Source organism: Homo sapiens, chromosome 5 (genome assembly GCF_000001405.40).
Source record: "Homo sapiens chromosome 5, GRCh38.p14 Primary Assembly".
NCBI classification, from domain to species: Eukaryota; Metazoa; Chordata; class Mammalia; order Primates; family Hominidae; genus Homo; species Homo sapiens.
In genome coordinates this window covers 8880495-8905474 of record NC_000005.10, presented here as the reverse complement: position 1 = coordinate 8905474, position 24980 = coordinate 8880495, and the positions used below count along the sequence as shown (strand labels likewise).

General features: G+C 37.6%; 1 long non-coding RNA gene across 1 annotated transcript in view; it reads right to left on the bottom strand.

The window, feature by feature from the left end:
- Positions 1 to 23949: 23949 nt before the first annotated feature.
- LINC02199 (long intergenic non-protein coding RNA 2199) overlaps positions 23950 to 24980 on the bottom strand; it is a 41794-nt gene continuing 40763 nt past the window's right edge. The window contains exons 2-3 of the long non-coding RNA NR_109932.1: positions 24424 to 24587; positions 23950 to 24339 (exon numbers count right to left, since the gene is read on the bottom strand). This is a non-coding gene — a long non-coding RNA (long intergenic non-protein coding RNA 2199). The remainder of the gene's footprint in view (positions 24340 to 24423; positions 24588 to 24980) is intronic.

Genomic DNA, 24980 nt, shown 5'->3' with positions numbered 1-24980 from the left:
ATTGGTACAAGCCATACATTGTGAGCTCCACTTTGCCTTTTTACACTGATGGAAGTTGAGACACTTCATCTGTGACTTTGGGAAGATGTGTGTTGGTTCAACAAGTACCTTGGAAATGTGACCAGACAAGAACCAACACATTTGGTGGCTGAATTCTAAACACATTTTCCAGGAATTTTGCTGATATACAATTTGAAAGAGGCCTTTGAAAATACGGAGTTGTTTCATTGCCTCTTACTTCTGTAAGAGTAGGGCGTTCCTCTGGCAGGCTTCCAAATGGAATGCATTTTAAATCACTGCCACTGGCTGACTTCAATAATGCCTCAGGGAAAGAAACTGGAGACCAAAATTCTACTCTATAATTAGTTCAAACTCTTCTGACAAGTTATCTTTCCATAATAAATCAGAGAAAGCTGGAAGCATGATAAATTTAATTATAATTGATTGTGTGAGTATTGTCATTCATTTGCATATTGACCATGTCCCATGGAATAATTTTTCTTACCTACTTAAGTGTTAAGACCGAGGAAGAGTCAAATTATGGAAACATCTGCCCATAATTAAAAGGGAAGCTGCTCTTTGGGACAAGGTCTGCTATGTAAAGTCAACTTCTACCAGGCACTTATCTCTATCACTGTACATTGTCCACATAATTAGAAACAACCTGATTCTCTCAGCTTGGAGGGCTTGTCGAACAAGTGGGAGTATTTCCAGCAGATTGAAGGTAGAACCTACTGCTAACTGCTTAGTGAGGGAGTAAAGAAGTGACCCTGAGGTCACACCCTGGAGATACAAGTGCCCCACTCGCCTTGGTGCTGATGGGTTCTCTTGCTCAGTTGGGCCATAGGGGATCCATACTCTCTGTCTCTTCAGTCCCCGTGGCACAGTCCAGTTCCGAGCAGGGCTGTTTCCCTGAGTATGGAGTTATCAGGACCCGGGACTCGAAGCATTCTCACACCTGGGGATGCAGAGAGCTGCTCCTGAGCATTCTCCCAGGGGAGCAATGGGAACTTCCCATGAAGCCAGTGGGAAACTTCTCTTTATATTTCATTGGCCCAGATGCTGCTAGGTCTCCCATCCAGATCTCAACACTGGCAATGAGAATGGACTAAATCTTGTTGTTTAGATTATTTGGGGGGACACACCTACAAAGGGTTGTGAGTTATTGAATCAATATTTGAAAAAATATCTAGAACAAAATAAGGGTGGTAGAAGGGTTGCTAAATGAGTGAATGGTGAATAATGAATGTGTGGATAGAACCTGCTTCTGATAAATTACCTGAATATAAAGACCACTTGAATAAAATTAGAACTGGTAGGAGGAACTACTTAAGAAATAGATAGGTACTCAGTAGGCAATAAATTACATGTATATGCATGTGCCTGTCTCTATATGCGTGTGACTGTGTGAGTTATTAAAGAGAGAAGAAACTAACTAGTGCTATTTATTTAATTGTTTTTGGTGGTGCAAATGGTACGGGAGCCAGAGCTTCATTATCAAAGAATAAAGCAGCACCATCTCCGGCTCCTACCTTTTTATTTAATGGCTCTCTTTCTGGTTGTGAAGGCCTGAGGCTTTGAGGATGAGTTACGAGGGGGAAATAGTTTCTGTGCTTCCAGCTCACTGGAGGCCATTGTCCTGAGTTTTCTAGACCTGAGATGGCTGCTTAGAGCTGAGGCAGCAGAAGTGACTGACTCAGGATAGGAGAGAAGGCTGTCTCTGAACTTAGGGCATGAGAAGGATGGGAGATTCTGAAAGTTCTGGGATGCATTGAGTTGATGTGCACTGTGATCGAATGCACAAAATCAGGAGGCTGAACTCAAAGGTGTTTGATAAAAACCCATGGTTGCCACAGAGAAGGGAAACCCTTGATTCTAATGGAGCACACACGCTCCATCTCTGTCTGCAGCTCTAAGAGGACATTGTGAACTTAGTTGAGATCATTGCCGAGGCCGGCTTATGGCAGCACAGACCAGCAGGATCTTGTACAACCTGCACGGGGAGGGAGCAGTGAGTATACAACAGGAATAGTGATTGAGACTGGATTTCCCAATTCCTAGGCAGGCGAGGGTCAGAGCAGATTTAACTTAAGTGAAGTAGAAAAAAGCAACTTTTGCCACAGCAAGTGTTGCAAGACAAAATGCACATGTAACTGATTTTATTCTTAATCCAGTACACCATGCTCGGCACTAGAAACGACAGTGTTCCATGATTGGTTAAGTGCACTCCCAACACTCATCTTCTGACGATCAAATTAACACTAATGGCACCATACTTTAGAAATGACTATTCCTTTTTTGATATGGTTTGGCTGTGTCCCCACCCAAATTTCATCTTGAATTGTAACTCCCACAATTCCTGTGTGTCCTGTGAGGACCTGGTGGGAGGTGATTGAATTATGGGGGTGGGTCTTTCCTGCACTGTCCTCTTGATGGTGAGTGAGTCTCATGAGATCTGATGGTTTTAAAAACGGGAGATTTTCTGCACAAGCTCTTTCTCTTTGCCTGCTGCCATCCATGCAAGATGTGACTTGCTCCTCCTTGCCTTCTGCCATGATTATGAGGCCTCCCCAGCCATGTGGAACTGTAAGTCCAATAAACCTGTTTATTTTGTAAATTGCCCAGTCTTGGGTATGTTTTTATCAGCAGCACGAAAATGGACTAATACACTTTTAAAGTAGTACATAGTCTTATTTAGCTTCCAAAACAACATTTAAGGAGAAGTAGGGCAAAAAATATTATACCTATTTTAGGGAGGAGAAAACTGAAACTCTGCTTGAGTGATTTACGCCATTGGCAGTAGTGAGATTTGAGCATGGGTGATTGAATTCCAAGGTTAGTGGTCTTTCTCACTGGCCTATCTACCTCTGTCATATTGTCTTTCCAATTCTATTATAAAACAATAACTGCAGGAATCAAGCTGGGATATCCATTTTTATTACTTGTGTGAGTGTAATGAATGAATGAATGACTTTGTTGCTAATGACTCCCCAGATGGGCCCCTGTCAACCTCTAATAATTGAAATTTACATTTATTGTTGGTGAAATCTAGGTGCTTTCAATACAATGATTGCTTGAGGGAAGAAAGAAAAGCTGACCTCTCTTACCACATAATCTGTTTTTATGGCTGTTTTCTTCATGGCTTCCAGCCCTCTATGCACCTTTTATTTTATCTGAGTAATATTCATTTCAATGAATGGTTCATTTATTATATTATAAAATATTAGATGCTTCTTTCTAGAAGCAACGTTGTCTTACTTTTCCATAGATTTATTAGTGTGAGTATAAATTGCTCTGGAATATATTTTGAGCATCTTTTTTTCATCATTCGCATAAGATGCCAGTAATTTATTCTCTTACATGTAACGAAATGACAAAAGTATTTTTAAAAATTCTCATTCCATGATAATGTGTCATTCAGTGGTCTGTTATGGGAATATCTAATAATTTACAGAAAGGCATCCAGGGTAGATGAAACAAGAAATTAAGTAAAATAAGATAAAACAATTCTCCCACCTCCAACATACACATGCATATCAAAGCTGGTCACTCTGCAGACATAGACAGGTGCAAAGGCTTTTTCTCTAATTGGTAGAATCAGGAATTTAGTCCCATGCCTTGGGACTATATAAGAAATGATCTCGTCATGAGGTGTGGCTTGCTTTGTAAGATTATTATATGCTGCCCTAAAGTAATAGTAGTTTCAAACACTTGTCAGTGTATCTAGGCAATGTCCAAGACATCTAAGCTGATAAACTTGCTCCTGAAACAAGAAAATTGTTTAAAATTCCCACTATTTATTATGCATCAGCATAAAATTTTTTTTTAGAATATGTGGTGAAGAGAGAGTAGGATGCAATCAAGCAGTGGATTTGGGGATAGGATGGGGCAACCCTAGATTATGTGTTTTCTTCTCCTGGGGTCTCAGTGCTAGTGTTTCTTTTCTGTGAATTTCCTGACACTTGTCTGTGTCTGGTATATTTTAGTGCCCTGAGAGTTCACATAACTTATCTCAAATTAAGTGACTTAATTGGTAAGGTGAAGGATTCTGGTGACTTTAATTACCAGTTACAGGATAATGATAGGTTTAAAATTATATTATAGGTTAGAGATATAAAATTATAATTATATAACTATAGATGTAGGATCATATTTCCAGCTTAGATACCTTTATTGAAATATAGACAGAAATATTCAACCATCAACTGGATATCTTTACCCAGATATACTATAAGCACCTCAGTCTCAACATGTCCACAGTGTATCTACTCACTTCCCCACCCAAATAATTCTTCCTTTCATAAGCCCCTCCTGGGATCATAGCATGTCCATTCACCTTGTCTTCCAGGCCTTAAGACAGGAATTTCCAGGGATCTTTGATTCTTCCCCTTTCTTAATAGACATGCCCAGTGTCTGTGGCCAGTGCACTCTACTCTCCTGACCCTTCAGCTGCTCTGTCTCATCTTAGTTCACACTCTCGTTGTCTCCCACTAGGACGATTGCAATGAGCCCCCAACTGTTGCCCCTGCTTCTAGTCTCCTTCTCTGTCACTCTACCCTGACAATGAGTATCTAAAACTCATTCCTGATCATTCTACTCTCCTGTTAAAAACATTTCTCTTAATTTTCAATTAAGTAAAATTTTAGTTTAGGATGGATATAAAATTTTTTTATGATCTAGTCTAAGCCAACCTCCACAGTGTAATCACTGTTTTCCTCCATAAACTCACTTCGGAATTTCCTATACGCTATGCCCCTTATAAAAGTTTTTTTAATTGAGGTATAATTTACATACCACAAAATTTATCACTGTAAAGTGTACATATCAGCTATTTTTAGCACACTCCCAAGGTTGGACTACCATCAGTACAATCTTTTTTTAGAAAAATTTCATCACTCTGCTTTCAAAACAAGCCATGCTCATTAGCAGCCACTCCCTATGTCCCCCTCCTTTTGCCCCTGGCAACAACTAACCTACTCTGTCTTTATAGATTTCACAGAAGTGGAATCATACAATTTGTGGCCTTGTATACCTGGCTTCTTTCACTGAGTGTAATATTTTCAAGGTTTCTTCATGTAGCATGTATCAGTACATCACTCATGTTTATAGCTGAATAATATTCCATTGCATCAATAGAACACATTAAAAAGTGTTTTATTCTTCAGTTGCTGAACATGTGTGTTGTTTTCTTCTTTTGACTATTATAGTAATACTATTATGAACATTTACGTACAGGTTTTTGTCTAAACATATGTTTTCCATTTCTTTGGGTATATACTTAGGAATGGAATTTTAGGGTCATGTGGTAACTCCATGTTTGAGGGTTTGAGGAACTGCCGAATTGTGTTCCATACAGGTTGCATCACTTCAGATTCAGCAATGTAGCCAGCAACATATGAGCATTCTGACTTCTCCACATCCTTCCAAACACTTATTATTTTTCACGTAAAAAATTATTATAGCCCTCCTAGTGGATGTGATGTGAGATGGCATTTTGTTACAGTGTTGATTTGAATTTCCCTAATGACTAACAATGCTGAGCATCTTTCATGAGCCAGCTGTGTATCTTCTATGGAGAAATGTCTATTCAAACCTTTTACCCATTTTAAAGTGTTTAAATAAATTTTATGAATAGACCTTAGTTTTTGTAACAATTTTATGTTGACAGAAAAATTGAGCAGTTAGCAGTTTCCATATTCAATTCCCCTACACATTCTTGCACACAGTATCTCCTATTATAAACGTCTTGCATTAGGACAGTACATTTTTCATACAATATTATAAATCATTAACTAAAAGCCATTATGTATTCAGATTTCTTTAGTTTTTACCTTTTTTTTTCTTTTCCGAGATATAGGACATCATGTTACATTTAATGGTTATTATGTCTCCTTTAGCTTCTCTTGGGTGTGATATTTTCTCAGATTTTCTTTGTATTTGATGACACTGACAGTTTTGAGGAATACTGCTCATGCATATTATGGGATATCCGTCTATATTAGAATTTATCTGATGATTTTCTGATGGTTAGATTGGGATTATGGGCTTTTGGGGGGAAGATTACAGAAGTAAAACACCATTTTTATTGTATCAAGGGTCCATGCTTTAAACATGACTTATAACTGTTAATACTGACGTTGATCACCAGGCCAATGTAGTGTTTATAAGGTTTCTCTTTTGCAAAGTTACTCTATTTATTCCTTCTTTCCATATGGCAGTCTTCGGAAGGAAGTCACTGTTTGCAGCTCAAACTTAATGACTATAGAGTCATGATTCCTCTCCTTCAGACTGGAGTATGTAAACAATTTATTTGAAGCTCCATATTGGAGATCTGCATCTTCTCCCTATTAATTTGGAATATTAGATTGTAGTTTTCTTTTCTTGTAATGTCCTTTGTTCTGGTGTCAGAGTAACACTGGCCTCAAAGAATGAGATAGAAAATGTTCCTTCTGTTTTTTTGTTAGATTTTATGGTGGATTTGTGTTAATATTTCTTAAATATTTGATAGAATTCAGCAGTGAGGTTATCTGGTCCAGCATGCATCTTTTCTTTGTTTCTTGATTAGTCTAGCTGAAAGTTTGTCATTTTAATTTTTTTTCAAAGAACAGAATACACTTTAGGGTTTGTTGATTTTTCCCAGATTTTTAGTTCTCTATGTGGTTAATTTCTGCTCTAATTTTTATTCTTTTCTTTGCTTTCTTTTGGTTTAGTTTGCTTATATTTTTCTAATTTCTTTCTTTCCTTTTTTGTTACTATAGAGACAGGGTTGTGCTCAGTCACCCAGGCTGGAGGGCAATGGCATGATCATAGCTCACTGCAACCTCCACCTCCTGGGCTCAAGTGATCCTCCCACTTCAGCCTCCTGAGCAGCTAGGACTACAGGCATACACCACCACACTTGCTATTTTTTTTTTTTTAATTTTGTTTGTAGAGACTGGACCTCACTATGTTGTCTAGGCTGGTCTTGAAATCCAGGCTTCAAGTGAACCTCCGGCTTTGGCCTCCCAAAGTGCTGGGAATACAGGTGTGAACCATCTCATCTGGGCTTCTAGTTTCTTAAGATGGAAAATTAGGTTGTTGATTTTAGATCCTTCTTTTTTAGTGTAGATGTTTACAGCCAAAAATTTTCCTATGAACACTGCCTTTGCTGAATTTTTTAAGTTCCATTATGTTGTTTCTTTTCATTTTCATTCATCTCAAAGTATTTTCTAATTCCAATTGTGGGACAAGACAGTCTTTTCAAAAAACGGTGTTGAGAAAACTGGATATTCACTTGCAAAAAAATTTGAAATTAGACCCTTATATTATGTACAAAAATAACTCGCAATGGCTAAAATACTTAAAAGACATAAGTCATAATTTCTTCTTTGACCCATTTATTATTTAGGAGCATCTTTTATAGTTTCCACATACATATACATTTTCAAAACCTCCTTTTGTTATTGACTTTTAATTTTAAGCCAGTGTGATCAGAAAACATACTATATATGATTTCAATTTTTTAAAAGTATGATTTCAGTCCTTCAAAATGTGTTGAGTCTTTCTTGTTCATGAAACAACATTACCTTTCCTGCAGACTGCTCCGTGCACGCTTGAGAAGAGTATGTTGGGCGAGTGTTCTATAGATGTTTATTACACCTAGTTGGTTTGTAGTATTGTCCAAGCCTCCAATTTTCTTAGTGATCTTCTGTCTAGTTGTTCTATGCAAGACTGAAAGTGGAATATTGAAGGATGAGAGAAAATACCTACGGAAGGAATTGTTGTGGAAAATCCTCTCCATTCAACCCCCAAGGCTGAGATTCAAACCTTACTGAGGAGAATATACCTGGGGGCCCCAATCCAGCTCTCCCAAAATAACAAGTAGCAACAGCAACAAACCACTATTCACGATCAGTGAAGTGTGTTGAGGTGCCGTGGGACACGGTTGGCCAGTAGGAAACTAACTACGGAGGTACATGGGAAATTCCCTAGAGGTGGTGTGCCTCGGGTAGCCATGCTGTGGGAAGAAGATGAAACTCTACCTCTTGCAGTGACTCTTCAGTGTCCTTAAATATCCTGTCAGCTGGCAAATAATAAATGTTCACAGGTACAGGTCTAGCATAACCAGGAAGAGTGAAAAAAATGTAGCTTTGAGCCAAGGGGCAATCAACTGTTACATGATACAGACTGTTCCTTTAGACTCTCAGCTTCCAGTGCACCCTTCTACACATTTTTGAACTTCTGTACAATAATGTGACTCTGTGTTTCCACCTAAAAAGGGGAAGCCATCCTCCATATAATTGAATAAGCTATCCTTTTTTTCTATCAGGAAGATGCACACAGTTGTAGCAGTCTGTTGGATTCCTTTGTTGGCTATATTAATTACTGGTCAAATTCAGTTACGGCAGCATTAAATATTCTACTACCTAAAAACTATATAAAGTTATTTTGAAACAACTTGTACATAAAATAAAAATGAAGAAGGAAAATGTTTATTAAATATAAATAATATAAATATGCAAATAAACAATAATCCTCAGTTTTGAAATTGGTAACAAGGCTGTAGTTGATAGCTCTTTTTTTTCTCTTTTACTAATCATTTCACATTTCACCTTTCCTTCACCCATAACCAAAGCTGGTCAAGGTTCCCTTTCTAGTGAAGTGGCCCAAATCCTCATCCCTATACGGTACTGATACTCAAAAAGTGCATTTTGATTACTGTAGTTTTATTTTATTACAAATAATATAATATGCAAATAAACTATAATGCTCAGTTTTGAAACTGGTAACATGGTTGTAGTTTATCTTTGTTTTTGTTTTTTTTCTCCTTTACTAATCATTTCACATTCCCTTTTCCTTCAGCCATAACCAAAGCTGGTCAGGGTTCCTTTTCTAGTGGAGTGGCCCAAATCCTGTATAGTATTGATGCTCAAAAATTCTATTTTGATTACTATAGTTTTTCATTAACTTTTAATGTTGAGAATGGGGAGTACTAAGCATTAGCCCTGAGAACCATTATGGGTTCTAGACACAGTCTTCCTTACCCTCCGTTGGTAGCAGCAATGGATTTTTTCCTCAATAATAAGAATCAATTCCTCCACCAGGCAGAGTAATTTCATTTTCTCTCTCTTGGCATAAAAAGATCAAAATGTCCAGATGGCAGTCTCATTTTCCAATGCAGTGAATTCTCACCCTTTAGGAAACAAGACCTCAAAACCAGTAGATCTCTTGGACAAAAAGCAATGCTTTTGCAAGTTGGCTATTAGGAATAATTTTGAAAGGAGATGGACCACCTTCTACACCTTGATCCTTAGACTCGAGTATTCTGCCTCTGGAGGGAGAAAACATCATATAGTGATCTCCAATTCAAAAAAATATGCTACATCTTGTAATACAGAATGTCATTCTCTTTGAGCATTCTGCTCAAACTGGTACCATAACTGAGTCCCTAGTAAACCATCCCACTGCGCAATTAGGCCATCTACTTCCAGGTAATGTGATAAGACCAGTTAATTCTATGCATATAAGCCCATTGCTGTACTTATTGCTGTGAAGTAAGTTGCAGATCAGAAGCATTATTGTGCAGAATACCATGCTGATGGATAAGAATTCTGTAAGTCTATGCATGGTGCTGCTCACAAGGCAAATTGATATTCAGAATGTGTTATTCCAGTGAGGATGTTTATATTATTACTCATATATACATATCTTTATAAATATGAAATTGAATACTCTTTAACTTGTTTTTCCTTTCTTAACATTCTACATGACATTGTTCCATGCAACAAATTGTTGGATATTCTTCATCATATTGAGTGGTTCCAAAGTTTCCCTGTCAGGAATGTCCAGTTTTTGCTTGTGGGAAGTTAGGTGGATTCCGAGTCTTTCATTACAAACAAGGCTGTGATGACAATCTTTGTAAGTCTGTCTTAAGACATTTCCCATAAATGAAGTTACAGGGCCAATGTCTGGCACACTCTTGAGGCTTTTGATTTGATGGTTAAATTATTCTTTGGAAACATTATTCCAGTTTATATTTCCATCTCATTGCCAAATACCTTCACCAGTACTAGGGGAAAAATATCTGTGTTTTTTTGTTTTTATTTTTCCTTTTTTCAATCTTTGTCGGTTTTAGAAGTAAAGCTATCCTGGAATTGTGAAAGATGCTGAGAACATGTATGTATTTAATTAGGAGAGGGAGTGGCCCAGCTGCATGAATGGTGTGAGACATCTCAATCAAGAGATCATAGGAAATAGTTATTGGGCAGTGACATGGCTCTGTGAAATAATGATGCAGTTGGCAGCCATTGCATTGAAAACTTTCTTCTGTGTTAGTGATGGAGCATCTGTCTTTTCTTCAAGGGCCTCCAGTTATTTGTGGAAGTCCTTAGAGGGAACCCCGTGTGTCCTCACCCCGTGTGTCCTCGTAAGCATACAAGTCTGCCTCTTTTCCTTTCTCTCTGGATAATTTCTCAGGGGCCTATGAGCTCTGCCTACAAAGCCTCTGGAAAAACCTCTTGCCTCCCATGCCTCCTGAGAACACTGAAGACCCAGAGTAGGTCTTAGAGCTTCTGGGCATCCAGGTTGAAGGCTGGTGCTGTGTAGAGGCTCAGAGGGAAAAGGGGCCACCTCCAATTCTCAGAGAGGACTTTGAGTGGCCTGGTAGTGCTTTACCTACTGACTTTCAAGTGTTACCAGCATACTATGCAGAACCATTTGTAAACCAGGCTTGAGTCTCTACTTTCTCAGTCAATTGCTTCTAAGGAATTTCCCAAGAAGCCATAGGAATGAATTGAGGGAAAGGAAGCAGGGTACCAGAGTTAATGATGAAGGATTTGGAGCCACCTGCTCATGGAACAAAACTTATTGTGAAAGTTTTTTACAGAAAATTATCGTAACTCATTGATGAAAATTATATAGAATATTCTTCAGTCTAACAGAGAAAAAAAATTCAGTCAATTAAAAAATGAGATAAAGTAGCCTACACAAAACCACTTCTTCTCTTCAAAAATTAATTACCTAAATATGCCCAGTAATTAAATAGAAAATATTATACTTAATTAATCTGAGGCTAGATGAATCATGTAAAAATGAAACATCACTTACATCGAATAAAAGGCTCATTAAGTTCAAACCTTATCTTTAATGGTTAAACCAACCAAAGAAAAAAACTTCAAGGGAAGAAAAGAAGTAACACACCTCTTCCTTTTATGCTGTCCCATGGGTACTGACAGCGCTGTGACCTGGGAACACTTGGAGGATGGGCTGATTCAGAAAGGGGCAAAGGACTGTTGCATATCAAAGGACTGTTTGAAAAGCAATTGAGGATATAATGCTCATCTCATTTTATTGACTTCCCAGGCAACACATGCCCTTCAGCACCAGGTCACAGAAAAAAGAAACGGTTCATCTAGATACCTTCCTAAGTTAGAGAATCATCCACAGCAATTATTAACAACAATTATCCAAGAAGACAGAAATTTACAAGCACTGGATTAGGAAGCAAATGTGACTCTGGTTGAAACTGGAATGAAAACAACGACAAATAAAAGAAACAATAGGGAGATAAAATAAAAAATACAGGAAATCTCAGGTTGGAGAATTGTTCTCTTGACTTCTTTTCATATGATTATATTTTTGTTGGGGAAAGAAGGAGATGGGATGAATCTCTGTTCTTTATAATGTAGGCTATCCAGAGGCTGAATATGTCTACTATCTCCGGTTCAAGAAGTTTGTGGCAAAATTCTCATTTTGTGTACATGAAATAGAGTTAGTACTGATGGTTTCCCGACAAGGAACGTCCACATCTCCCATGGGTACTTTTTTAAGGATGAGATCCTGTGATCCATTCTTGTTTCCTTGCTCTCCCCTTGTTTGGTAAAGAAAGGGCATCTGCATTCTCCTACGGCTGAGAGTTTCTGGTTTTGTTAAGTGGCCTAGGATGCATTCAACTATTGACCACTTCTTAACTCCATTACATTATCTTCACATTTTTGTTTCAATCTCAACAAGAATATATAGCTGACTTTCTCCTGGATCTGATGTAATTGGTTATTAGCATTTTTGTTCTCTCTTGCATGTGCTTTTTCTTTTACTGATGTTTAATCTTCACTGCCATTGTATTTGTCATGAGTTTCTCTCATCTTGTGTAAAAACACTAACTAAAGTCTTAAAGTACACAAAACTATATTTAAGACTGCTATTACCAATGTGATTGTTTTTCTGTAGGTTAAATTACTGGGTTTTTAAAGCAATTAACTTGACCTGAATCTTCAGCCTCAAAAGCTGTATGTGTGCTATTAATATGTCCATCATCTTATTCCAGGATAGAAGGTACTTCATGTACTGAAGTCTCATTCAGGGTCCATTAACTCCGAGTTCACTGGAGTCAGGCGTGCTGTGCTGAATGTTCCCCTGACAACCTCTATAAGAAAAGGAGGCCCTGAAAAATAATAACAATGCAAATAAAGAGCATTTTCTCCAAGTTAATAATAACATCAAACATATTGTCCTGGCTTCGCTTTTTTAATAGTGTTTCAAATTCCAATGTGAAAGTGTGACACAAAATAGGATATAAGTACCTAAGAGGAATAAAAGCCAAATGTTTACAAAGGATGCATTATATTCTAGGCACCATTCTAGGCCCAGCTTAGGCTGCCATAACAAAATACGTAGACTGGGGGCTTAAGCAACGGAAGTGAATTCTTCCCAGTTCTGGAGGCTGGAAGTTCAGGGTCAGGGTGCTGGTAAGGGCTGTTACTGGTGAGGGCTCTGCTCCTGGTTTGCCAGTACAGCCTTCTCGCTGTGTTTCCATACAGAGGAAGGAGGGAGGTTTGGTCTTTCTGTCTCATCTCAAATCCCATTATCATTAACTCATCACATCTTCTCTTTATAAAGCCCATCGTGGGGGTGCCTATGCTCATGAACTCATCTAATCCTTGTCCTTCCCATGGCCCCTACCTGTAATACCATCACTTTGGGGGTTAGGGCTTCAATGTACGAATTTTGGGAATGTACAATTCAGTCCACAGCATCTTGGCTTCCCTCTAAGGAAGGAGATCTTGTTAAAGGGTACCTCTGAGTAGTTGCCCCAGAGGCTCACAAAATGATGCAGAGTGTGCCAGACAGAGAACACAGAATAGACAAAGCCTGCAGGAAAAGCACATTAAGACATGCCCATTAGCACAGCAGAGGCCCAGGACTGAGCCAGTGGTCCCGAAGAGGGGCATTCAGAGTGGGGTGCCTGGAAAAAGTGTCAGGAGATGAAGCTGAAGGAAGGGTGAACTTTTGAATTAATGCTGAAATGAGTTAAGACTTTGGGGGACTGTTGGGAAGGCATGATTGGTTTTGAAATGTGAAAAGACATGAGATTTGGGAGAGACCAGGGATGGATGATATGGCTTGGCTCTGTGTCCCCACCCAAATATCATCTTGAATTGTAATCCCCTTTTGAGAAAGGGCCCTGTAGTCCCCATGGGTTGAGAGAGGGAGGTGATTTGATCATGGGTGCGGTTTCCCCATGTTGTTCTCATGACAGTGAGTGAGTTCTCACAAGATCTGGTGGTTTTATGTATTTGGAAGTTCCCCCTTCATTCTTCTCCCTCCTGCTGCCTTGTGAAAAAGGTGCTTATTGCCCCGTTGCCTTTTGCCATGATTGTAAGGTTCTTGAGGCCTCCCTAGCCATGTGGAACTGTGAGTCAATTAAAACTCTTTCCTTTATAAATTACCCAGTTTGGGATATTTCTTTATAGCAGATTGAAATGAACTAATACAGCATGCAGTGGAGGGAGTGCAATAGAGTTGGGATGGGCAAGAGAAATAGGATAAATTTTGAACCTGCCAAACTTGAGGACCCTGTGAAACCTGTAGGGGAGATGTCAATAGACAGCCAGCCATGTGTCCCTGCAGCAGGTATACTAGTTAAGGTGACTCCAGCTGCTGTAGCAGATAAACATGTATGTATACTTCAAGCAGAGCAGAACCAAAGCAAAATCCTGTGTGTATAATATCTCAAACCTAAGTAGAAGGCTATTACTGCTTACATACATAAATCCCAGAGTCAGTGTTCCTGGATGGCAGAAGGTTTTCCTTTGAGCAATGATTTAGGAGCCCAGCCCCCCTTTTTCTTGTGCCTTCATCATCTTGAACATGTGGCTTCCAGGATCCCCATGCATGGTCATGGGGAGGAAATAATACAAAAACTTGATTGAGAGAGGATGGATTGGGTCATTTCTGCAAGTCTCAGATATCACACAGACTCACTTGCCATTGGCTGAAATTTAGCTATATGGCCACACCTAACTGCAAAAGAAGCTAAGGAAGGAGTACCTAGAAACTCTATTTATCAATCTCCATATCTCAGGGCCCTATACTTAGTATCTGTGCAATAAAGTTAGGTATTATCATTAGATGAGGGATTTAGGCTTAGGTGAAATGTATGAGAATACAGCGTTAGGTGGAAGTTGGAAAGAAAAATCCCAAAGACAGAGAAGAGTGTACATGATATTCTGGGAACTATTTAAAGCTTTGGAAGTGGCCTGGCACAGTGGCTCACGACTGTAATCTCAGCACTTTGGAAGGCTGAGGAGGGCGGATCACGAGGTCAGGAGTTTGAGACCAGTCTGACCAATATGGTGAAACCCAGTCTCTACTAAAGTTACAAAAAATTAGCCCAGCATGGTGGCGCCTGCTTGTAATCCCAGCTACTCTGGAGGCTGAGGTAGGAGGATTGCCTGAACCTGGGAGGCGGAGGTTGCAGTGAGTTGAGATTGTGCCACTGCACTCCAGCCTGGGCGACAAGGCAAGACTCTGTCTCAAAAAACAAACAAACAAACAAACAAAACAAAAGCTTTAGAAGTAGCAATGGAGTATTCTTCATCATCACTGCCATATGTCACAGCATAAATAAAGCTGATAAACAAAATTTTGAGGAAAACCAATTTGATAAAAGGGTACATGCTGTATGACACCATTCATATAACATTCACAATCAGATCGAATTGCCCTGAAATGCTTGTAGCTAAGACAGAAGTTAACTTTATTTGGCACAGTGATTGGTGTCAGGGAGGAGAGGGCTTGAAGGCAGCACTTTAACATTTTTTTATCTTGATCCAGGTACTGGTTTTATAGGTGTGTTCATTTTGTTAAAATTTATTGAGGTGAGCACTCCTGATTTGTATAAATTTTGTATATTGTGTTTAAATAAAGCATATACTTTAAAAGAAAGTTTATACTTTAAAATTTTCACACACATACTCTTATATAGAAATTAATTAATACCTAACTCTCCCTAATGAAGAATTATTGATCTTTACTCCATTTTCTCAATTTATATATTCCAGTCCTTTTATACATTTCTTACTGCTCTACACTTAAAGTAGGAATTATTTTATTTCAAAGGTAAGTCTTTCTGGCAGATTATTTTTGGATAATTGAATCCAATTGCTTTGATATTTTGATGTCCAAGGCAAGCATTTTATACTTTGGACCCATTAAAATAACTTACTGTATTAATAGTCTTGAAAATTATTTTCAAACAGTACTTTTGTTGTCTGTGGTGGAGACAGCTCTCAGGCCACCAAAGACTCATGCATCTCTTCCATAATATAGCTACTTTTGCTGGACACTTTTTATCTAGATGTAGCCACATGACTGACTTCCAGCCAATTGGATGTGGACAGATGTGATTGATGCTGCTACTAGGCCTGACCCTCAAAGCCCACCAGACATACCCACCACTATGTCTCTCCCTCAACCAGCTGAGAGGTCACCAGGTGCTACACAGGTTGAGCTTCCCATGTTATGGGGCCGTGAATGGGCCCACAGAAATGAACATGCTTATTGTAGTTTATAGGAACAAGAACTAATTTTCTATTACATTGAATCACTGAGATTTTAGGTACATCTGTTCCTCCCCTAAACATCGTGCTTGTTTTCCTTGCAATAGCTGTAAATTGCTCACTTAGAAAATTGAGTCTAGTTTCTTTGTAGGACCTTCACAGTGTACCCAGCCCAGGACTTCAACACTCTACCATGCTCCATCTAAGCAGTCTATCCCTGAATCAGTCATTATATTATTAATTTATAATAACATTAGCCCGCCCTCTTAGTTAAAAGTTCTTCATTATCTTGCCTTATAAGGAGAACAAAGAAACCCACTTACATGGAGAGAGCCTGGCAGTGGTTCAGATTTTGGTCTTCTTTAATTTGCTGCTGCTCCACATATTTCTTTTGAATGCAGCATTAGGTAAAGGCGAAAGATTGATGGATGTCAATGCTTAAAAAAAGAACTAGCTTCCAAGTTGTTCTATGATCCATAGTGGTCCTGGTCATTAAAAATCTGCCAGTACATACAGCCTCCATGTGGGATGCCTGGGTTAAGTGGTGTCTTCTGCCATGAGATAGTGTGTGGCTGTCATAAATAAAGACAAATACAGCACGCTCAGGGCCATGGTGTTTGAAGATTCAGAAGGAGGTTGCTTTGCCTTTCAGGAAAACTCCAGGACTGGGTGATGGGGACTTCCATTGATGGGAAATTGCTTTATGTCCCTTCTCATTAAATTGGATCCCACATGACCAGTGAGCTCTGTGTTTAAACATAGCCTGCTTGTTCCTTGCTCTAATTTATTTTAGATGTATTTTAAGGAGGAAATTTTCGTATAGGACAATAAAATATTTCCAAATCTAATTTTGCATTCTCTCAATCAGCATCTCTAACAAAATCAATTCTATCAAGCACAGTTTTGTGCTCATTTATTGAAAGAAGCACACATAGAGAGAACTGCACTAATAGGTGTGCAGCTCAACTGAGTCTATATATTTACATGCATATATTCCTATAGAACATTTCCAGCTCCCCAAGGGTACCTGAGTGCTCCTCTCCATTCAGTATCCCTCCTGCATGCAGCTGCTGTTTTGACTTCTATTGCTGTAGATAAGTGTAAACCAGTTTCTAAATATTCATTCAATACTCATCTAACTTTTGCCTATATCTCTCTGCTCTGGGCTTTAGAAAAATAGCTCTAAGTAGTGTTTACTTATTATACAGTTGTTAAAACCTATTTTCTTCTTTTGGGTTTTCCTTTGGTTTTATACCTGGTACTACATATGTTGCCATTTTTAAAGTAAAATATTTAGAATTGAGAAACTTTTGAAAAGATGAGTCTGCAAGGGCAGCGTAAAGGATTAGCAAAATAAGGCCAAAGTGTGTGTCACTCATTCAAAGCCCACAGTGTTCCAGGCTGCCAGGGCCTCTGACAGGAAAGGTGCTGAGTCTACCAACCCTGGCTCACCAACCTTAGCATCACCTGGAGCAGAAGTGAGGCACAGAGCAATAGCGGCGATCCCTTATGATCCTCAGTCTGTCACTGAATCCTGAATTCTGGAATCATCATTGAAAACGGTCATAATTTCTACAGCCTCATAGCTAAAATAAGGCTGTATGTGGGCCCATACATCCACCTATAACTCCTAATTAATGCTTTTTAGCTTTCTAAAACTCTTGAGACAAAGCAGTGTAAGTTGTCCAGTTTGGTGCTTCACTTTCAAAATCATTTTGGATATTCTAGCTTATAACCACATACATTTTAGAGATATCTTGTTAAATTTCCTTAGAAACTTATTAGATTTAATTTGGAATTACCTTAAATCTATGGATCACTTTGAGGAGAATTGACGTCTTGACAATATTGAGCTTTCTAATCCAGTAAAAAAATACATGTTTTCATTTATATAGATCTTTTATAATTTCTCTCAGGAATGATTTATAGTTTTCATTGTATAGGGCTTCAATATTAAATTCAAGGTTTTATTAAATTTGTCTCTGGTTATCTCCTGGTTTTGGCATAATCATGAATTTCCAAAATTTTATATTTTAACTGTTTATTTGCATATAAGTCATTTTATTTTTGTATGTTGACTTTGTTCCCTGTAGTCTTGCAAAAATAACTTATTAGTTCTGCTATTTGTAATTTTTTAAGGATATTCTGTGTGACACATTCATGTCTCTGAATAAGAATAATCCTGTTTCCTCATTTCTATTTTGTATTTTGAAAATTTATTTCCCTTGCCTTATTTCAATGGTTGAGATCTCCAGTATAAGGCTTAGCAGAACTGTGTGAGCAGAAATACTTGACCTTTTCTTAAACTGAGAGAGGAAGTTTTATTCTTTCAAATTCTGTATTAGGTTAGATTAGGTTATAGAAGGCTTTTTTTAAAACTAATCCTAATCTTCTGATTTTTAAAAAATATAATGAATACATTTTGAATTCTCACAAATTATTATTTGCTTCTGTTGAAATAATCATAGAGTTTTTCTATATTGCCTGCATGTGGAGAATTTAAATGATTGTGGTTTGAATGATAAACCAACTTTGCATTCCTAAGAATAACCTCACTTGACCTTTAAGTACTAGTCTTTCTATATATTTCTGCATTTGTTTTGCTAAACAGTAAGATTTTGTAAAGGATTTTGCATAAATGTTCTTAAGAGTCATAGCTACACTTGCTTGTACTATCTCTGGTTTTGGTAATGAATGGGGCCATGCTGGCCTTATAAAAGGATTTGCAAAATGTTTTGTCCTCTTACTTAAAAAACTATTGCATAAGATTGGTATTACTTTTGTGTTAAATATTTGATGGAATTCACCAGTGAATCCATCTGGGACTTAGATTTTTATAAAAAACTTTTTATTTAAAATTTAATTTTGGGGTACAGGTTATTTTAATATTTTCCTTTTTGTTTCAATTTTGTTTTCATCTTTTGAGGAATTTATATACTTATTTAAGTTGATTTTTTCGACAAATTTATTCATAATATATTTCATTATTCTAATTTCTAATTTTTAATTTTTTTAAATTATACTTTAAGTTTTAGGATACATTTGCAGAACATGCAGGTTTGTTACATAGGTATACACATGCCATGGTGGTTTGCTGCATCCATCAACCCCTCATCTATATTAGGTATTTCTCCTAATGTTATCCCTTCCCTAGCCTCTGACAGGCCCCACTGTGTGATGATCCCTTCCCTGTGTCCATGCGTTCTCACTGTTCAACTCCCACTTATGAGTGAGAACATGTGGTATTAGGTTTTCAGTTCCTGTACAAGTTTGATCAGAATGAGTAATAAGAGTTTTTTAATTTTACTGATGTAGTCTAAGATCAAGCTTTTGCTTTTATTGATTTTCTATACTGTTGCTTTATTTTCTATTTTGTTGTTTCAACCCTTATTATTTCCTTACTTATACTTATTTTGGTCAAACTTGGTCTTTCCTTCTTTTTCTAGCTTTTTAGGTAGAAGCTTAAGTCATTGATTATGATCCATTTACATTTAATGTAATTTATGATATTCTTGGGCACATGATTAGCATTTTATTGTTTATTTTCTATATGTGCCATATATTCATATTTTCTTTTTGCCTCTCTTCCTGACTTCTTTAAGATTAAATGATTATTTTAATGTTATATTTTAATATTCTCCACTTTTAAATTATTTGTTAAATTTGTTTTATTTATTTATTCTTAATAATTGCTCTAGGCTTTCCAATACACATATTTAGCTTACCCCAGGCTACTTCTAAATTATATTATAAATCCACAGGTAAAGGATGAGAATCATACAAAATTTACTTTCATTTTTCCCTTCCAACCTATATGCTAATGTTTTCATATATTTTATTTCTATATATGTCATAAACTTCAAAGTACAGTCCTATTATTTTTGCTTTACACAAATAGTTCTAAAAGTGCAGTCTGGGGTCTCCTGTGGTTCATAGGATCTTTTCAGGGTATCCATGAGGTGGAAACTATTTTCATAATTGTAAGACACTGCTTACACTTTCATTCTCATTCTCTCAAAGGCTACATGATATACGATATTGCAACAGACCAAATGCAAAAGCACATATTATGCTTTAGCTGCTCTTTATTAAGTCTGGAATTGAAGCGATTGGCAAAATATTTTTTAAATGCCATTCTCCTCACTAATTGTTTTTCTTCCTTGAAAAATATAGTTACTTTTCTTAAAAAGATATTATTTTTTGTTAATATAAAATGGGGTTATTATTACTAGTTTTAAACAAATAAATAAATATTTTCATTAATAGATATTATTAATAAATATGTCAGTTTTAATTTCTAATACAGAAAATATTAGTAGATGTAATCCACATCAACAAATTATCCAGGATCCTCAATAATTATCACAACTACAAAGGTATGATGAGACAAAAGTGTTTGAGAAATTCTTCTTTAAACTGTTAATTATATTTTAAATAGAAACCTAAAATACTTGTCTTATTTACATAGATATTTATCATTTCCAAGTCTGCACATTCCTTTATGTATATACAAATTTTAACGTACTATAATTTTCCTTCAACCTGAAGAAATTTCTCTATTATATCTTGTAGAGAAAGTTGGCTAAAAAAGATTGCATCTGATTTTGTTTGAACTAAATTATGTCTTTATTTTGCCTTCATAATATAAATTTAGCTAGATTTAACATTCTAGGTCATTCCCCCACCCCCCTACCCTGCCTGCCCATCACTTTGTAACATTCATTATTTATCCTTCCCTGCCCTCTTCTAGCTACAGAGAATTATTATTTGAGAAGGTCAAAGTAAATTTCATGTTAAGAAAAGAAGGTAGTTGGAATGAGAGGATGGATATTAACTTCATATTTAATACAACATGTGCATCTGCCCTTTTTACCAAGTCATGGTCTATAGGCAGAAGCTAGGGTATGTGAAGTCGAGTTGTATTATTAAGTTTATAATCTTCACATAACCTCAAATCTATAAAACCTTTGTTCAACAGTCCAGAGAAATTTAGATGAATTAAAACTCTTACTTTAGTCAATGGTACTGTGTGGTTTGAGAAAGAATCAGTTAGGTGACCTTTCTATTTTTTTCTTGATATTTATTCTGCTAAAGTGACATAAAAAAACTTTATTAGAAAATATAGAATGTCACATTATTATTAAATTGTTTACTTGGCATTTAGACACAGGTGTTTTCTTAGAAATTTTAAAGGGGATTGAGCTTTGCTCCTTTGATGCCGACAACTTTGACTCTATTTTAGCAATAGATGCAAACCCCAGAGCTTCCAGAATACAAAAATGTGAACCTACTTGCTGGAAGAGAACAAGGTAGAGAACCTACCTATTACCATCAAATACCAAACCATAATTATAAGAAAAATGTAGTAAAATCCAAACTTTAAAAATATATGAATGTTTAACAGAGTGTGTGCTATGTGTAGAAGTTCAAGGCTGCCCCCTTCAGAGAAAGCAATGCCTTGAAAGAAAGGTGGAAAATCAGCTTGAAGAGAAAAAAACCATTCTAATAGATCTCAGATGCATTTCAGCTCTATGTTGTAGGATTTCGTGTTCATAACTATTCTATTGGTGTTGATATTTCTAGGAAGGCTGTGGCATAAACCAATGCACAGTTACTCCCTGCGTCCTTAGCAAAGGGCAGATGTGATTTGCTGAGAGCACACACATCCAAGCCCTAAAAGCTTCTCACCAGCCAAGCACCCTACACTCTTCTCAACCACTTGCCTTCACTCCAAATGCCTCCTCCCTGCCTCTATCCAAATTTTACTCAGTATTTAGGGCCCTCCTTAATCGGCAGAATCTTCGTGAAACTGCCCCATAGAATGCTGATGGTATTAGTGCTCTTTCTCAGCAGTGCGAAATAATGCTGTTTTATATGCTTTAAGACTACGTTGGTTGGCTCTTTACTTGTCTGTGCCCCTCCTGAGCTGTGCAAAGGGGTTACTGTCAACACCACTAGCATGTGGTACAGATAGAGCATGGAGTTTACTGGGGACAAGCTTAGGATCAGAGAAGTAGGAGGCACACACACCCTTGAACTCTCAGTACCCAACATCATAGTCTTCATACCTATGGCCAACAAGCTGGTATACAGCGCCTTCATGTCTCTGATGCTCCGCATATGTATATGGCTTGGGAGCATGGAGCACTTGTGTAACTAGTACCAATGGATGCTCTCTGTTTAAAAATGGTTTTGTCAGGAAGAATTAGCAGTGGCTGGTATCAGCCTGTTCTATTGAATTAACTCTGACCTGCTGAGCCACTTACCTCAGGAACTCCTAGAAGAATAAAGAATCTAAACCCTCAGAGCCAACTAGATTTGTCCCCTTGGGAAAAAAAAGACCTTGGACTTGTTTATTTTTATAGCCCTAGGTTTAGCACATAGGCATGCAATAAATACTCTTTATGAACTGAGTGAACATCAACACCAAAAATATAGTTTACACTCAACTACTGTGGACAGGAGGACCCTGCATGTGAAACAATACATTGACTAATGCTTGAGGTCTATAAAAATTCACCATCATTTTGCATCAGAATATTCCACCAGATTCCCCTCTGGGTTTCTCAAGACTCATTGTTTGAACTACAACCCAACAGGTGAGTGGTATCAGGCTGTCCACTAACATAGTGAGACTCCACAATCTGCTATCCTTGGGCTGAGAACATTTTTCAGTACTTTAGCCTTCCATGAGCCCCTGGCATACCCTCATTTGTTCATTTGGCCTCACTGTTTTGCACACTACTGTCTCCAACTTACCAGCCTCAGAGATTGCCATTTCATGACTTTTTATGCTGTGCTTATTCTTGAAAGCATTCCTGTGAGTAACCAAAGGATAAGACTTTTTCCTGCAATTTTACCATGTGCTTCTAGAATGCAAGTAAACACCATGGAGTCTGTTAACAAGAAAGATGCAGTTCCAGCTATCAGACAAGTTATAGGCCCTGCTTTTTGACTCTGGCAGGTCAAAGTATTTTCAAAACTTCAGCAGAAGAAAGAGAACAAATGTAGAACATGTTTGTTGCTGTCACAGCAGTTATTCTAAAGTTTGAGTGCTGTTTGGTTTTGTATCACCCTATTTTAGAAGGCATGAACCAAGAGCAAAGATATAAGCAATTGCATTTTGAAAGGACGGGAACACTGGGGAGAGTATACTGACAACTTCAAATTCGAATTAGTCTAGGATCACATCAGACAGAGCCGTGCCTGTATTCTTTGGTTATACAACTAGGGACACTTTTTCTTGCAGTCTGAGGTTCAGAAAATACCTGATTGATATTTAATTGGGAATAATTTCTCATGCCTTTGTCTTAGTTTACTCGTGGCTTCTGTATTTTTTGCACTCTCAGGTGGAAGTTCCTGTTACAAGCTAAATTTCTTCATTAGTAATATATCTTCATTAGCAAGCAGCTATGGTAAATGAACCTTGCTATCTTAATTTTTAATGTAATTTTGTGCCTATGATCTCAGCTAAATGCCATCTACTTAGTTCACTGCCACATGTATAAGCTAATAACCAAATATCAGGTATGAAATGTTAAACCCAATAAAATAAAACCTCAGTGGGAGAAACTGACTTTCTGTGAAGCTTCTCATACAGGTTATGTGGGCGTTGATGCCCAAATAACTGACCACTAGATTGCAAAAGTACATCCTGCTGCTTTTTTTATGGCTGTCAGGATAGGCAAAATCCCTAGAAAATCTGTTATTCTCAGCCCTAGAATCATAAAACTCTGAAACACATTGAAATCTGTAAATCACATTGGCCAAATCCCAGAAATTGCCAAATAAAGTCATAAACATGTTTTATAGGTGTAACACAAGAAAAATAATCTCTTTTTGGTAACTCAAACACATTACTGTATTAGGATCATCATCATCACATATTAGACTAAGTTACTCGCAGCAAGCCACCAGACATTTTCAAAATACCCCATGGCAGTTTCAGAAGTTGAGTGACAGTGCATCGGTCAGAAAAAAACTGGTGGTGCTTCAGCAACAAACAATTCTAAAATTTCAGTGGTTTTAAACAATTCACGTTTGCTTCCAGGTTATACAGTGAAGTCTGGCAAAGATACTGCACCTGTAATAATCAACGCACTGCCAAACTGAAATAATCAAAAGGGTCAGATTTCTATTTTAAAGAGTATTTAATCAAAAAGCTAGGAATGGCCATTCTGGGATGCACCACTACAGAGAAACAGGGATAGTGCTTAGAAGTTAAAAGCCAAATTCTTGCTAACAGGAAGAAGACAAAGAAATATAACAGGATGACAACATTTTTTATACAACGCTGGGCTTATGAGTTACAATAAATTAATTATTCAAAGTTTGTTTTCTTTTCTCCGTGGCTTGTTTATTTGTTTATATCTGGTTTTCATTTTATTTCCAATATAAAAGAGTGTATTTAACATTCCATCTTAAGTCTCTGTGATAACCACGAAGGCTGTGTGAAAAAGGTAAGAGGATTGGAGAGAGGCAGAGAAAGGTGGCAGAATAGAAGGCTCCACTGATCATTCCTCTGGCAAGGAAAACAATTTAACAAATATTTACACAAGGAAAGCACCTTCATAAGAACTAAAAATCAGGTGAGTTCTCATAGTACCTGGTTTTAACTTCATATTGCTGAAAGAGGCACTGAAGAGGTAGGAAAAACTGTCTTGAATCACCTCTAACATCCCCCAGCAGTGCAGTGTGGTGTGGGGAGCATCTCTGGGCACTGGCAGAAGGAGAGCGCAGCAATTTTGAGGCAATGAACTCAATGCTGTCCTGTTAAAACAGAAAGGTAAACCAGATGAAACTCAACTGATGCCCACCTACAGAGGGAACATATAAACCAGCCCTAGTCAAATAGAATCACCAGTTCCAGCAGTGAATTTAAGTTCCTGAAAGCCTCACCACCGTGGGCTAAAGTGCTCTGGGGCCCTAATAAACTTGAAAGGCAGTCTAGGCACAAGGACTGCAAGTATTATAGGAGTCCTAGTGCTGAGCTGGGCACAGAAACAACAGCTTGGGTACACATGAGCTACTGAGACACTAACCAGGGCACCTAAGGGGGTATGGCATCACCACTTTCCTAACCCAAGCTGCACAGTTCATGGGCTCTAAAAGGGACCCTTTTCTTCCACTTGAGGAGTGGAGAGGGGAGAAGAAAGAGGACTC